This window comes from Homo sapiens, chromosome 12 (genome assembly GCF_000001405.40).
Source record: "Homo sapiens chromosome 12, GRCh38.p14 Primary Assembly".
NCBI lineage: Eukaryota > Metazoa > Chordata > Mammalia > Primates > Hominidae > Homo > Homo sapiens.
The window spans coordinates 40,194,372-40,209,941 of NC_000012.12; the positions used below are offsets into that span (position 1 = coordinate 40,194,372).

General features: G+C 35.9%; 2 long non-coding RNA genes across 5 annotated transcripts in view; one reads left to right on the forward strand and one right to left on the reverse strand.

Annotated features, from left to right (window-relative positions):
• The window catches only part of LRRK2-DT (LRRK2 divergent transcript), an 82,057-nt gene that overhangs the window by 52,606 nt on the left and 13,881 nt on the right, over positions 1–15,570 (reverse strand). The window lies entirely within an intron of this gene.
• Positions 12,673–15,087, forward strand: LOC105369735 (uncharacterized). 3 transcript variants are annotated; one of them, XR_007063561.1, is made up of 3 exons: positions 12,673–12,885; positions 13,420–13,626; positions 14,494–14,549. It is a non-coding gene; the product is annotated as an uncharacterized LOC105369735 (long non-coding RNA). The 3 variants fall into 3 exon arrangements; XR_944865.4 differs by lacking the exon at positions 12,673–12,885 and adding an exon at positions 13,150–13,252; XR_007063560.1 differs by lacking the exon at positions 12,673–12,885 and adding an exon at positions 13,150–13,252 and having other exon boundaries at positions 13,420–15,087.

The window sequence follows — 15,570 nt, forward strand, 5'->3', positions numbered from 1 at the left end:
CAAGGTTGAGGACACACACCTATGACACAGCCCCTGGAAGTCCTGACAACATGTGTCTAAGGTGGTCAGAGCAGAGCTTGGTTTTATACATTTTAGGGAGGATGAGACATCAATTGACACATGTAAAATGAACACTGATTTGGTCCAGAAAGGCGGGACAATTTGAAGCAAAAAAGCTGGACAACTCAAAGTGGGGACAGGCTTCAGGGCACAGGTAGCTGAGAGACAAACAGTCACATTCTTTTGAGTTTCTGATTAGCCTCTCCAAAGAAGGCAATCAGATATGCATTTATCTCAGTGAGCAGAGGGATGACTTTGAATAGAATGGGAGGCAGGTATGCCCTAAACAGTTCTCAGCTTGAATTTTCCCTTTAGCTTAGTGATTTTGGGGGCCCAAGATATTTTCCTTTCACAGTGATAATGTTCCATCAGTCTGTCCTTTCCTATTCTAAAACTTGGTGGTCTGGTGAAGAAGTTTACCTGTGTCCTATCTACATCCATCGTCATATTATGCTCTTTGACTTTACCTTATTTCATCTGTTCAGACTAAACAGTCATAAGTATTTGCTCCTATAGAAGCAACTTTGTCTCCTATGCTACTTTAGTATTCTCCTTTGATCCGCTCCAGATTTGTTAAGTCATCTTTAAAGTTTCTTCACCCAGAACTTCTTTTGACTTCCTTTGAGACAATGTGGATACTAAAGAAACTAAGCTAGACAACCTGCCTGTTTCACAATTTCCTTCCTTTCTGAAAAATAACTGGTGTTTTATTGATTCTTTTGACCAAATAATACCCTATACTGATGTTTTGAAGGCCTAATTATGCTCCTGTCTTTGCTAGTTACAGTCTTTGTCTTATTAATAGCGTATGGATTATTTTTCCCTCAATAGGTTATGTTGCTTTTTTCCCAGTTGAACCTTATTTATTATTTTGAGGCCCGGCTGCATTGCCCAATCTGCAAATACTGTTCTTGCTACCTCTTGGGCACCACCACACTCTCAAGTACAATATAAGACAGGAGGAACAGAACACACTGCTTCCATCAAAGTAAATCATGCTTTTTCATCTTCTTCCTACTTCATGCTCAGGAACATAAATCTCAGTAGAATCTCTAGAGGGCCTATCCCATAATGTAAGCTCTAGGGCTTAACCACTGATATGTACAAGGTTAGTAAATGAAGCCTATGGTTCTGCGACCAGACTGGGGATGTTATCTGGGTGGCTTTGACCCCAGTACATCAGACTCATGAGTCATAGATGACCCCTATTCTTATGCTGAATGCGCCACTGTCCTCAAGGTAAAAACTATCTCCACTAGAGAGTAGGAGGGAGAATACCTATAGCCAATGTGCTTTCCTTCCTGTGAGGCTGTTTGTTATTGATGCCACTCAGATGTGTTTTCTATCTTTACCCAAACATTCTGACATCATATTCTTTGTAACTATTTCCTTCATTTCCTATTCAACATATTTCTGTAAGGTCAGTAAAAAGATAAGATTCAGTTCTGTAATCTATATTATATCCTTAAATACAGTTTGTTTTTTTAAGTAAATGGAACATGAATTCAGTGACAAGTCAGAAAGAAGACATGCTCAAATCAATTGGCCCATGTTTAGCAAAAATAATTTGGCAGAGCACCTACATTGGTCATAAGGCCTTCATTAATTTAATAAATATTTATTTAGTCCTTAATATGTTCCAATCACTTTTATATTTGAACAGGCCAATGTGGTACCTCATTCTTTTGGAGGCTTACAAACTACCAGAAAAGAAAAACAGTAAACTAGTAAATCTAATTATATAGAAGAAGGAAGTGAGCTCTAAGAATTAAAGATATACAAAAACTGAATTTTGAGGGAAGCAATAACAATAAGAAATGCATATTGCCAGGCACTTTATATATATTAACTTTTAATCTTCATAACAGCCTTATATCAGTTTGCTGGGGTTGCCATAACAAAACACCACAGATTAGGTAAACAACAGAAATTTATTTTATCACAGTCGTGGATGCTGAAAGTCAAAGAAAAAGATGCTGGCAGGTTAGTTATCTTCTGAGCCTCTCTCCTTGCCTTGCAGGTGGCTGCCTTCTCACTGTGTCCTCATGTGGTTTTTCCTCTGTGCATGCTTACACACACACACACACACACACACACACACACACAGAGAGAGAGAGAGAGAGAAAGAGAAGAAGGGAGGGAGACAGAAGGGAACAATTAATTCCAAGAAATAAGATCTCTCATAGGCAATGAACTTTAATACACTAGTTTGTCCAGTAAAGAAACATGGGACAATAGATATCAGCTTCTCCCCAATTTTCCTATTAAACAAATCTCTCTTCTTTTGGGAAGTAAAAGGGTGGACAGAATGATGGCAGCGTTTTCCCCAGAACATCCCCAAGGTAGGGTAAGTATTGAAGGAAGGTCACTAGTACTTCTTGAAAGGCGAGAAGATTTGGTGAGAGTATCTATTTTATGACCCAACCCAAGAAAGAAATGTGAAGAGAGGAAGATAACAACTTTCTCCACATTTATCACTGAGGATTTCTAGATGTGCATTTATGTGTGCCAAAAAAAAAAAGAAACACTAAGGCTTTATAAATTTAGAAAGGCTAGTTATCACAACCAGTAAACTAGTAAAAAAAGTTAAAATATACTATATTATGCCCTAAAGGGGATATATCAGAATGGTCTGTGGGTCAGGAATGGAAGATACCTAGTCTGAAAAAATTATTCTAGTAATTCTGAAAGGGCCCTTCAATTCCCCTCTGCCCTCTTTCCCAACACACATTAATTAAGAATCATTGATCTCAAGCAAGAAGGGAAAAGTGTCAAAAATAAACCCTTGGGAAATATCAATATTTGGGATTTAAGGAAATGAAGATAAAATTATGAAATAGACCAATAATTTTCTAGAAAATTAGGAGAATGCCAGAGCAAAGTAGATTCCTAAAAGCCAAAGGTGCAGATGGTTTCAAGAAAGGAGGAGTAGTTAATATTAAATGTTGCTTAAAGGTCAATTATCATTAGTATTATTATGATTTCAAATGAAAATGTACCAGTTGTTTCACATCTGTTATCTCATTTGATCTCTCAACAATTGCATGAGGTGAAACTGAAGATTAGAGATGTTAAATAACTTGCTGGGATATAAATTCAGGCCTGTAGGATTCCAAAGACCACCCTATTTCCACACTGTTCTGTGAAGTCATTGGTGGTCTTGGTGGGAGTGGTTTTGGTAGATATTGGGCACAGAAGCCAGAAAGCTTTGAATTGACACAGTTAATAAAATTTAAGAGCGGATAGGCTATGAGGACACCCGAAGTTTAACTGACTTCGGTTTAAATTTTAAACTTTTAAACTTTAAAGTTTAAAAGTTTAAACTTTAAACTTCAGTTAAAGTTTAAAATGAGAGAGATGGAACCAAAGAAGGGAAATGAGTTCATCCTGTGTTTTGCTTTGTTTATATGATGCAGTTTCATACAGTGATTTAGATCACATGCTCTTCATCCATACTGCATCTGCTGGAATCCCGGGCTGCCCATCAGCCATGTGTTATTTAATCTTTGAGTTACTAAATGATATTGAGTTATTTTAAAATTTAGTTTCCAAGAATATTTATTGTTTGTTTCTTTGTTGTATTTTGTTTGGAGACAGGGTCTTGCTTTGTCACACAGGTTGGAGTACAGTGACATGATCATAGCTCACCATAATAAATACTACATTCACACTGTCTTTTACTTTGCTACTGAGTTAGTATCCAGAGACACAATATTGTGTAGGATACTTAAGAGCTTTTATGTATATGATAACACTTTTTGTTGTTGTTCCTAGTCTTAGAAATAATTGCAGTGAACAATACAGGTTTGAGCTGCACAGGTTCACTTCTATGCAAAGTTTCTTCCACTGCTGCCACCCCTGAGACAGCAAGTCCTACTCCACCTCTTCCTCCTTCTCCTTTGCCTACTCAACATGGAGACACTAAGGATAAAGACGTTTATGATGATCCACTTCCATGTAAGGAACAGTAAATCAATTTTTTCTACCTTACAATTTTCTTTACATTTTCTTTTCTCTAGTCTACTTTATTGTAAGAATTCAGTATATAATACATATAACTACAAAATATGTATTAGTCAACTGCTAAATCTTTTTTTTGAGACAGCGTCTTGCTTTGTCTCCCAGGCTGGAATCCAGAATGCAGTGGCACTATCCTAGCTCACTACAGACTTGAACGCGTGGTCTCAAGTGATCCTCTTACCTCAGCCTCCTGAGTAGCTAAGGCTACAGGTGAGTGCCACCATGCCTAGCTAATTTTTCATTTTTTGTAGAGACAGGGTCTCACTATGTTACCCAAGCTGATCTCAAACTCCTGGCTTCAAGGGATCCTCCTGACTCAGCCTCCCAAAGTGCTGGGATTGCAGGCATGAGTCACCATGCCCAGACAACTGTTTATGTTATCAGTAACATAAACAGTTGCTGTCAACTGTAGGCTATTAGCAGTTAAATTTGGGGCGAGTCGAAAGTTATATGCAGATTTTTGACTGCATAGGGAGGTCAGTGCCACTAACCCCTCCTACCTGGGTGAAAAAGCAAGACCCTATCTCAAAACAAAACACAACAAAGAAACAAAAAAGAAATATTTTGGGAAATTAAATTTTAAACTAACTCAATATCATTTAGCAACTCAAACTCATCATGTAAACCAAACAAAAATATTATTCAAGGGTCAACTGTACTCAATATAGGTATAAGTCTCCTCTTTTTATCTTTCCAAATAAATCTTTAATACTGGTAAACTCTAGGACCACTTATTTTGGATAATTTTTCAATTATATTTTATGTATGCTTTTCGAGCATTTACTACAGGAAAAATGTCATGCTAGATGCTAATGCCACATTTCATGTTTCATATTTAAAACTGGTTCAAAGTGCTTTTGGTTTTGGGTTCCTTGCTTCAGTTCCAGAGATATAAAAAGAAATATACAGATGTTATTTGAAAATATTTCTTTGACAACAAAGCAGTAAATCTTAAACTGTTGTTGAAGAACAATCAGGAATCAGCGACAAATTTAGTTTTTTCCTTAGATGCTGCTGAATCATAAAAGCCTATTTTAAAATGTTGCAGTGCTCATACTTTACATTTCTTTTCTTCCAAAGATACTAAAATAAGACATCAACACCCCAGCAATTTTCATACATCTGGAAGGGTCTCCTGGCAATGGGATGCTGATGCTGTAGGGAGAATAATGGTCAGCATTTGAGACATACGCAGCTCATCAGTGGATGAGCTCAGGGTGGATTCCAGCCAGTAGAAACCAAAGGGTTCCCAACTCCCCAAGGACCAATGTAACTCCCAGTAAATGCTCTCCACAGAAAGTGTTATATTCTCAAAGTAAGTCTCAAGCATAAAATATGGTAGTTTCAAAAGAAATACTGGCCAGGCATGGTGGCTTGCACTTGCCCAGCACTTGAGGCTGAGGCAGAAGGATTGCTTGAGTCTAGGAGTTCAAGACCAGCCTTGGCCAAACAGCAAGACCCTATCTCTACAAAAAATAAGAAAACGAATTAGTCAGGCATTTTAGCATGAGCCTGTAGTCCTAGCTACTTGGGAGGGTGAAATGGGAGGATTGCTTGAGCTCTGGAGTTTGAGGCTGCAGTGAGCTATGATCATGTCACTGTACTTCAACCTGGGTGACAGAGCAAGACCCTGTCTTAAAACAAAATACAATAAAGAAACAAAAACGAAATATTTTGGGAAATTAAATTTTAAAATAACCAATATCATTTAGCAACTTTTTATTAGAATTATAGAAATTTCTAAAATAGAGGAGGTAACATCTTTATTACTATAAAAAATAAATATTCATTGAGTGTTCATCTTGTTTCATATATATATTGCTCATCAAGTATTAGCATTTGTTACTGAAATTTTAGAGTGGACGAACTTAAAGAAAGGTTAAATAAACTGCCTGATGTTAAAAACAAAAAAAAAAAAAGAGAGAGGGTTAGGTGTGGTAGCTCATGCCTATAATCCTAGCACTTTAGGAGGCTGAGGTAGGAAGATTGCCTCAGCAGGAGGCAATACTTAGAGGGGGAACAAACTGAGCTCAAAGTTAGTAGAAGAAACGAAATAATAAAGATCAGAGCAGAAATAAATAAAATAGAGACTAGAATAACAATAGAGAAAATTGACAGTAAAAGATGGGTTTCTGAAAAGACAAACAAAATTCACAAACTTTTAACTAGACTAAGAAAGAAAGAAAGAAGTCTCAAATACATAAAATCAGAAATTAGAGAAGACAGTACAAGAAATACCAGAGAAATACAAAGAATCATTAGAGACTACTATGAACAATTATATGGCAACAAACTGGATAACCTAGAAGAAAGGACCAAATTCTAACAAATATATAATCTACCAATACCAAATCATGAAGAAATGGAAAATATGGGCAGATTTATAATAAGTAAGGAGATTTAATTAGTAATCAAAAATCTCTCATCAAAGAAAAGCCCAGGACCTGATGGCTGTACTGGTGAATTCCCCCAAACATGTAAAGAATAATCGTCAGTTTTTCTCAAACTTTTTCAAAATATTTAAGAGGAGGAAATACATCCAAACTCATTTTATGAGGCCAACATTATGCTGATACCAAAGCCAGACAAGTACCCTGTAAGAAAAGAAAATTACAGGCCAATATCCATGATGAACATACATGCAAAAATCCTCAATTTCTAGCAAACAGCACATTAAAAGGATCATACACCATGATCAAGTGGGATTAATTACTGGGATTAAAAGGTTATTCAACATACACAAATCAATAAATGTGATATATAACATTAACAGAATGAAGGATAAATATCGTATGATGATCTCAATAGATGCAGAAAAGCACTTGAAAAAATTCAATATCATTTCATAATGAAAAATTTGAACAAATTAGGTATAGAAATAATGTTCCTCAATACAATGCCTTTATTGTACTACACTACAAACCTACAGCTAACATCCTACTCAATGATGAAATGATGTACAAACCTACAGCTAACATCCTACTCAATGATGAAAAGTTGAGAGTTTTTCCTTTAAGATCAGAAACAAGACAAGGAAAATTATTTATGTTGTTTTAGGACAATCTTAGGGCCTCTTCTAGCTTGCAAGTAAAAACTTTTTTTTCACATGGCTTACTGATGTTTGGAGTAACAACATAAAATTTAAGCATCTTTAGTATACCTACATTAACTAAGATTCATAAGCTTTCTCTATGCCTCATGTAATTTATTAATCTTTTTCTTTAAATTATATTTATACTCTTTAAAATAAATTTAAAATGTCTTTTCCACTTAAAAGATACTATGTTACACAAACTTGCACAACATGTAATAAACCCAAATATATCAATAACCCAGAATAATTATCAGAATTTTGTCACGTATGCTTCATCCATCTATTTTTTCCCTTTCTTTCCTTTCACTGAAGCATTTAAAGCAAATAATAGTCATGTTATTCCACCCCTACATATGAATTTCTAAAACTATACGTATTTCTGTACATAACCACAGTATGTTCTTTCCATTTGGACAAGATGAAGATGATTTTAGAAAAGATAGCTTCTAAAGCTGCTTAAACTCCACACATAGGGAGGAATATCCACTTAAATAATTCTAAATGTTGTATTATAGTTTCAAGAATTCCATTAGTAGTTCTTTACATTGTTGTTCAGTTCTAACTGTATCAGCCCCTTAGAACTCTGTCTCTGACACTTATTATGAAGTACCCATTAAATCACTCAGCTGTGTTTTTTCTTTATATGCTCAAATCACAAGAAGAAAGTAGCATTTTTAGAGCTGTATATCATTTGTGAACAGCTTGCTATTTCTTCTGAATGACAAATGTGAGAAAAAAAAAGTTTTAAATAGCTGTGGCTCACCACAAGAAGTGTAGGGCATAAAGTTAATTGTGTAAAATATAGTATGCTTTTTTTTAAAAAAAAAGGGGAACAAACAAAAAAGAAACCCAATGAAGTACTACATTTTAATATTTTATCTTCCAAGATTTATATTCTTCTCCCAGAAGTCTAGTTTTGGGCATTCTTACATTTTTTTTCAAATTTGTTTCCATCTTTTTTCTAATGTGTCATTTCCTTTAATTGTAAAAATAGATGCCTGTGCTATGAAACAGGTTTAATGAGCAAAAAATTAAGGAAGAGATAAAAATCACCCACAAATGTCAGCACCCAGAAATAACTAATCTATGTCAATGTGTTATATAGACATAAATAGTACTCTATTTTCATACTTTAACATCATATTATGCAGTGTTTTACACATATTATTCTAATTTATACTTGTATCATGATATTGTCAAACCATTTGTATATTTTTTTGGATATTAGGGTTTTTCTTTATTTTTTGCTATCATACACATTGTTTTTAGACAGCTTTATTGAGACATAAGTCACATACTATACAATTCACTCATTCAAAGTGTACTTTTGTTTTTTATCATATGTATAAACGTGTGCAACCACCACCACAAGCAACTTATGAACATTTTCATCATCCCCAAAAGAAACCCTGCACCCTTTAGTCACCATCCCCCTATCCACCCATCCTAGTTTCTCCCTGTCCCTCAATCCCAAGCAACCACTTTTCTATTTGGTCTTTTGTGACTGTCTTCTTTCATTTGGCACAATGTTTTCAAGAATTGTCCATGATGTAGCATGCGTCAAAATGTCATTCCTTTTTAAAGACTGATTATCACTCTGTTGCCCAGGCTGAAGTTCAGTGGTGCTGATATGGTTTGACTGTGTTGCCAGCCAAAATCTCACTTTGAATTGTAGTCCCCACAATTTCCATAATCCCCACGTGTCAAGCGAGAGAAGAGGTGGAGATAACTGAATCATGGGAGTGGTTTCCCCCATGCTGTTCTCGTGATAGTGAGTTCATTCTCACGGGATCTGATGGTTTTTTTTTCTTTTCTTTTCTTTTCTTTTCTTTTTTCTTCTCTTCTCTTTTTTCTTTCTTTCTTTTTTTTTTTTTTTTTTTTTTTTTTTTTTTTTTTTTTTAGACAGAGTTTTGCTCTTTAGCCCAGGCTGATGTGCGGTGGAGCGATCTCCGCTCACCCGCAATCTCCGCCTTCTGGGTTCAAGGATCCTCCTGCCTCAGCATCTCGAGTAGCTGGGACTACAGGCACCTGCCACCACGCGCCAGGCTAATTTTTGTATTTTTAGTAGAGACGGGGTTTCACCATGTTGGCCAGGCTGCTCTCAAACTCCTGACTTCGTAATCCATCCGCCTCGGCCTCACAAAGTGCTGGGATTACAGGCGAATAAACTGTACTGAGCCACAGCGCCCGGCCAGGATCTGATGATTTTATAAGGGGCTTCCCCCTGCGCTTCGCACTCACTCCGTCCTGCCGCCCTGTGAAGAAAGAGCCTGCTTCTCCTTTGCCTTCTGCCATGATTGTAAGTTTCCCGAAGCCTCCCCAGCAATGGAGAACTGTGAGTCAATCAAACCTCTTTCCTCTATAAATTACCCAGTCTTGGGTATTTCTTCAGAGCAGTGTGAGAATGGACTAATACAGGCGCCCATCATAGCTCACTTTAACCTCAAACTCCTGGGCTCTAGCTATCCTCCCATCTTGGCCTCCCAAAGGGCTGGGGTTACAGGCAATCTGTGAACCACCATGCCCAGCCTTATTACTTTTTATGGCTGAATAATATTCCATTTTATAAATATGCAACATTTTGTTTATTCATTCTTCAGTGATGGCATCCATGTTTGATCATGAATGCTTTTACATTTAATCTTTGCATTTCTATTGTTTTTATTTTATATTAGAGTTTTAAGAAGAATTACTTGAACAAAGGGTATGAGTTCTTTCAAGGCTTTTAACAGATATTATCAAATATTATCAATTTTATAGAAGAAAATTAGTATTGCCATTGCTGTTTCATTTGTATTTTTTGATTACTTGAGAAGATAAATTTTTTTCGTATTTTTAACTTAATATTCTGATAATTTCGGTATATCCTGCCCCATTTTATTTTCTGATGCCAATTTTTTTATTGGTTGCAAAAGCTCATTATGGAATGAAGATCTCACCTTAGTGCACATGCTGCCCTGTCTCCATGTGCAAATCTTGCGCAATCTTCACTTCTTAATTGCTACTTCTGCCAACTACCCATCCCTGCTCTCTTCAGTTCTGGTTAAGAGCCCCCTACTCTGTATTGCTTTGCATCTTTATATAGTAATTGTTTAATTGACATTTTTTGCCTATTAGGTTGTGAGCAGAACTGGAATGTACCCAAATAGGGCCATGTAAGTTTATTGCCCAGGGGTAAAAACTGAGGCTAGCTAGTGGAACCTGAAATCCAGCCCTTCTTAATTCCACAATCTGCAATCAACAGGGGTGCCTTTTTCTCTAGCTCCCTCAGAGGTACCCTGTGGACGGCAGCAGTCCTGGGAACTAAATCTATGTTTGCCATTGAATCTTTAATTCCTACACAGCTTTGGCCAAAACTTAATACATGTTTGTTGAAGAAAAGAAAGAAGGAGAAAAGGAAAAAAGAAAAGATAACTTTTTACTCATAGTCTGTTTTTCAAATATATTCCCTCTGTCCTTTGACAAATAAATTTTAATATATTTTTATGTACTGACTTTAATTAATTAATTAATTTTTCTTTCACGAATCAGGCACCTCCAAACCAGGATAGGTTCAGAACGGCTCCTGTAATTTAATTTTTAAAAATTCAACTAAATGTAATAAACTTTCTGGTGGGCTTTTAAGACATTTGTGCTCAGAAAGCACTTCCACATTTTTTTTTTTACAAAGTCTCATATCCCTCTGGAATTTAAAAAGATGATGTTTATTTTAATATGGTGAGTAAAGTTGATATCCTTTTCCAATAATTTGTGAGTTTCTTCAGAGCTATTTACATAATAATCAATTTGTTCCCTATTGATTCATGATGTTTACTAAGTTCCCATGTACGCTAAACTGTTTTAGATCTATCAATTCTGTTTCATTGCCTAACAATATTTGCAAAAATTGCCTATTCTATTATTTTTGTGATATAATATACCTTAATATCTTATAAAGAAAATCTCCTATAATTTTTGTTTCAAAATTTTCTTAGCTTCTCTAGATGAATTTTCAAAACATCATGTTTAATTCCAATAATGATAATACAACCAGTGCCACCTTCATTGGAATCATGGTAAATTTGGGATAAATGTTATGGGTCTTTATCATATTAAATTTTTTGGTTTAGAAATGTGGAATAGCCATCTATTTAAAACTCACCATGTATTTGAATAGTTTTATGATGTTTTCTGCATGTGTGGATGTGTATGTATATGTGTTTAATAGACTCTGACATATTTCTTGTTAGGGCAATTCCTAGAGATTTGTGTATTGTTTTGCTTTGTATTTTTTTTTTTTTGAGACAGGGTCTCACTCTGTCACCCAGGCTGGAGTGCAGTGGCACGATCACGGCTCACCACAGCCTCAACCTCCCGGGCTGAAGGGATCTTCCCACTTCAGCCTCCTGAGTAGCTGGGATACAGGTGCATGCCACCATGCCTGGCTAATTTTTGTATTTTTTTAGAGACGTGGTTTCACCATGTTGCCCAGGCTGGTCTTGAACTCCTGGGCTCAAATGATCTATCTGCCTTGGCCTCTCAAAGTGCTAGGATTACAGGTGTGAGCCATCATGCTTGGCATTGTTTGGTGTTTATTATTTTGTTGCTATTTATATAAATCACTTCACCCTATTTATTTACACACTATTGTTGTTTTTCTGCAAATATTTTAACAAAAGCTTCTATTCTACCACTTTATTAAGGTCTGTTACTAATTCTAAAATTTTCGTAATCATTCTGTTAGATTTTCTAGAGTCATAAAAATATACGTTGCAAATAATGAAGCTCTTTCAAATAATTACTGCTCTCTGTTAATCTTATGCCCTTACCAGAATTTCCAAAGGAAAGCTAGGTAACAATCTTTGTTTGCCTCATTAGACACTGAAGCATGTTGCTAATGACAAATTATGTGAGTATCTGAGTTCCTTGAGAGCAGAGCTCATGCTTTTTCCTTTTCTGAATCTTCAGCACCTGTCACAATGCCTAGAATAAAGGAGGTGCATGATAAAAGTGTATCTCATCAATAAGCTGGTTCAAGTGAATGTCTCTAAGGTTTTCCCATTAGTTATTATCCATGTTAAGGGTATATCTTCTTATTCACAAATTTATGAGTTTGTATTTTAATTAATGCTACCTAATTACAAGAGTGGGAATTACTAATACTGTTTTGTTATATGTTTCTAGAGGATTATTCTCACTAAATATAGATACTATGTATGTTCTTTTTTATGGATATGCTTTACAATAAAAAGTTATGCCAATAAAAACAAACCTAGTAAGTGCTATGTTCATGATGTATTCAGTCTTTGAAAGTATCTATAGTTAACATGGAGGTAAAGAATTATATAGCTTAGTCAAGTGACACAGGTGTATAAACATTAGTTTTTCTTGGAATTATACCAGGCATAATAAATAACAAAAAACATTTTAAGCATATTTTTAGACATTGTACTAGATATTTTACCCATATTACTTTTTGTTATTGTTGTTAATTTCATCAAAGGACTGGGATAAATAAGTTTTGAGAGTTTAAAAGTATTTTTAAAATGTTACCATTAGACCCACTTTTGTATAATTGCCATCAAAGGAATCATAATTTTTCAGGTGGCTAGTCACGGTGGCTCATGCCTGTAATCCTCATCACTTTGGTAGGCCGAGATGAAAAGACTGCAAGGAGTTAATGACCAGCCTGGACAACATAGCGAGACCCCATCTCAAGAAAATATTCCCAGGTAAATCCAAATCGATTTCTTTTAGACAACTGTGGTATAGAATTGTGACTAGTGTATTATTTTATGATCTCTTTTGTTACATCCTTAGTGTCCAATAGGATTTTTGTTGCGTTTGCTTTATATCTGAAATTCTGCATTTTAATTCAGCTACACAAATAATGCATCTTTTCAACAAAACTCAGATACAAATAATGTTCTAATATTGTTATTTATTTCCATACAGCATTAATCTCTAGTAAGTCTAACTTCGCAATCTCTTTTCTCACTTTTCAATACACCTCTAGCTTCCAATTGTTTTGCCTAGAGACTTTAAGGCCTATGACTGCCAGAATGAAAGATTGTTACCTCTTTTCCCTTGCTTATTAAGGTAGGAGGCCATGATGACGCACTTTTCTCAATCTCTTGGCTTTAAATGGATCTTACCTTGGGAGAGTTACAGTGAAGGCATGAGTAATTGCGATTTAAAGTTTTGCTTCTGTGTCATACAACAATGCTGCATCATGAAATGTTGAGTCTTGTCTCTTTTCCTGGCAGATGGCCAGAGGGTGTGATGGCTCCTACCTGACTGATACAATTGAAATCAAAGACTTGCCAAGTTATACCAGCAACTCCAGCAAAACTGTGAACTTACTGGCCTTGGAGGACTATGGATTGAAACACACAAAACATCTTTGGCTGTGCATGCCCTTCACACTGGCTGCCTAGTCCCCTCACAGAAGATTGTACCATGTGGTAGTTGGCGTAAGAAACCATTGTGTATATGAATTTTGTCATGAGGACCTAGTGGTCAGCACTCTTGCACATTACAGAACAAGGAAAATATAGTATTTATAAACTCTTCAGCAGTCCCTATTAGGGAGCCCAAATTCAATTCACCTAAACGGGAAAAGTGCAAATATAACAAAGGATTAGATCAGTTATCAAGCTAAATGAATCCTAAAGCATATTGCCTTCTAAACTAATTTTATTCAATACATAGCTTTAAGATTACTATGTAGATGGACTTTATTTTTTTCAATTAGCTTTGTGCCACTCAGGAATACAAAAAATGTTTCAGATATCTTTTTTAATCCATTGTTTGTTCCCAAATATATATAAACTTCTTTCAATTTTAAGCTATAATTCTGTTGCACACTGTGAATATAAAGTCAGCTGAATCATAATGTCTTGTTCATCCAGCTTCTGTGAACAGGTAGACATTGACTGGAATCTTTCCAAGCCCTTGGAAATGGAAATTTTTAGCTATTGGTTAAGGCAACACTCTTTGCATCTGAAGCAGTGAATACGATGTTAATGCTTAAGCTATCTTAATTTTCCAAATGCTAATGGCATAGTTGAAAGTGTTAATAATATGACTATATCAGATCTTGACTTTAGGGGGGCTTAATTTATCCTATCCTTGAGCAAACCATCTGGCATTGCTAAGCCCAAAGTTGCCTGGGCCTGTGTAACACTGGGTGGGTTTTAATTCTTTTGTCTAGCCTAGTAAATCATTCAATATGGTTAGTTTTTGAATGCCAGCTTGTTTTCAAAACTGAAATATTAAGAGCTGATGATATAAACCAAAATTGAAACTAGAAGAAATTTCTCCTTCCTTATTTTACACAGAAGTGGGCTGGAGCTGCTGCAATCACGGGGATGTCTGATATTGCAACAAAGGAAGCAAAACAGAGCTAAATGAATCCTGTGCAATGAGGAGGCATTTTCAGGTAGTGGCCAGAAACTAGAAACTGCTCTTTTCTGGTTAAAAACGTTTGTGACCCATAAAACCTTCTCACTGCTTACTAAATAGCACAGTTCTGAGATACAAACCAGCAAATTTACAAATCACAATGCTTTTCCTGCTGAATCAATAGCTGTAGCAAATATATATATGTAAAATGCAATGGAAAAATGAAGACCTCTTTAGAAGCCTGCAGAAAATTTATACTAGATATGAAAGTTTGAGCAATCACGTAAAAGCCCTAGTCCCTTAACATTGCTTTTAAGGTCATCAGTGTCCTGGACGTTGGTGACTTCCCTGCACCCATTTCTTCACTCCCCACCTTGAACTTCATGTTTAACTCTTATTTCTTCCAGTACTTAGTGAACACTGTCTTCTCTCTAAGCCTTTTCCTGGAGGAACATTCTCTTGTCTGACTTCCTAAGTCTGAGTTAAGTGGTCTCCTATGTCTCCTCTAATAAACTTATTTTACCCTGTCATTATTCTTAGTGCACTTATTTAATTCCCTGTTTACTAGCTTATCCTGCTTCTAGGTTACAAGCTCTGGCATATCTGTTCTGTTCACCATTGTATCCTGAATGCCTGGCACTTAGAAAGCCTTCAATAAATACTTGTTGAATGGCGTTCATTGCAGAAGCACTAAAGAATTTTTGCATGTTTTTACATTAAGAAAAATCTTAGTAGCAGGATCAGATCTCAGTCATATAGTACACTCAGTTGTGCAAACATGATTCCGGTAATTTATATTCTTTAAATAAACTGAATTTTAATTCCAAACTACTATTTCACTAGGATGTCAAGAAATTTCATCTCAGTCATTTAGGGGCCAGATCCTTCCCTGGGATCTCACAGAACCAGGGAGGTTTATATGAGATCCACGAAATGGCTGAAAGGGCTCCACTGTCTTTCTGGTACTGCTCCTAGTCCACGCATGAGGAAAGAAGCCCTGTCAATCTCTGCTC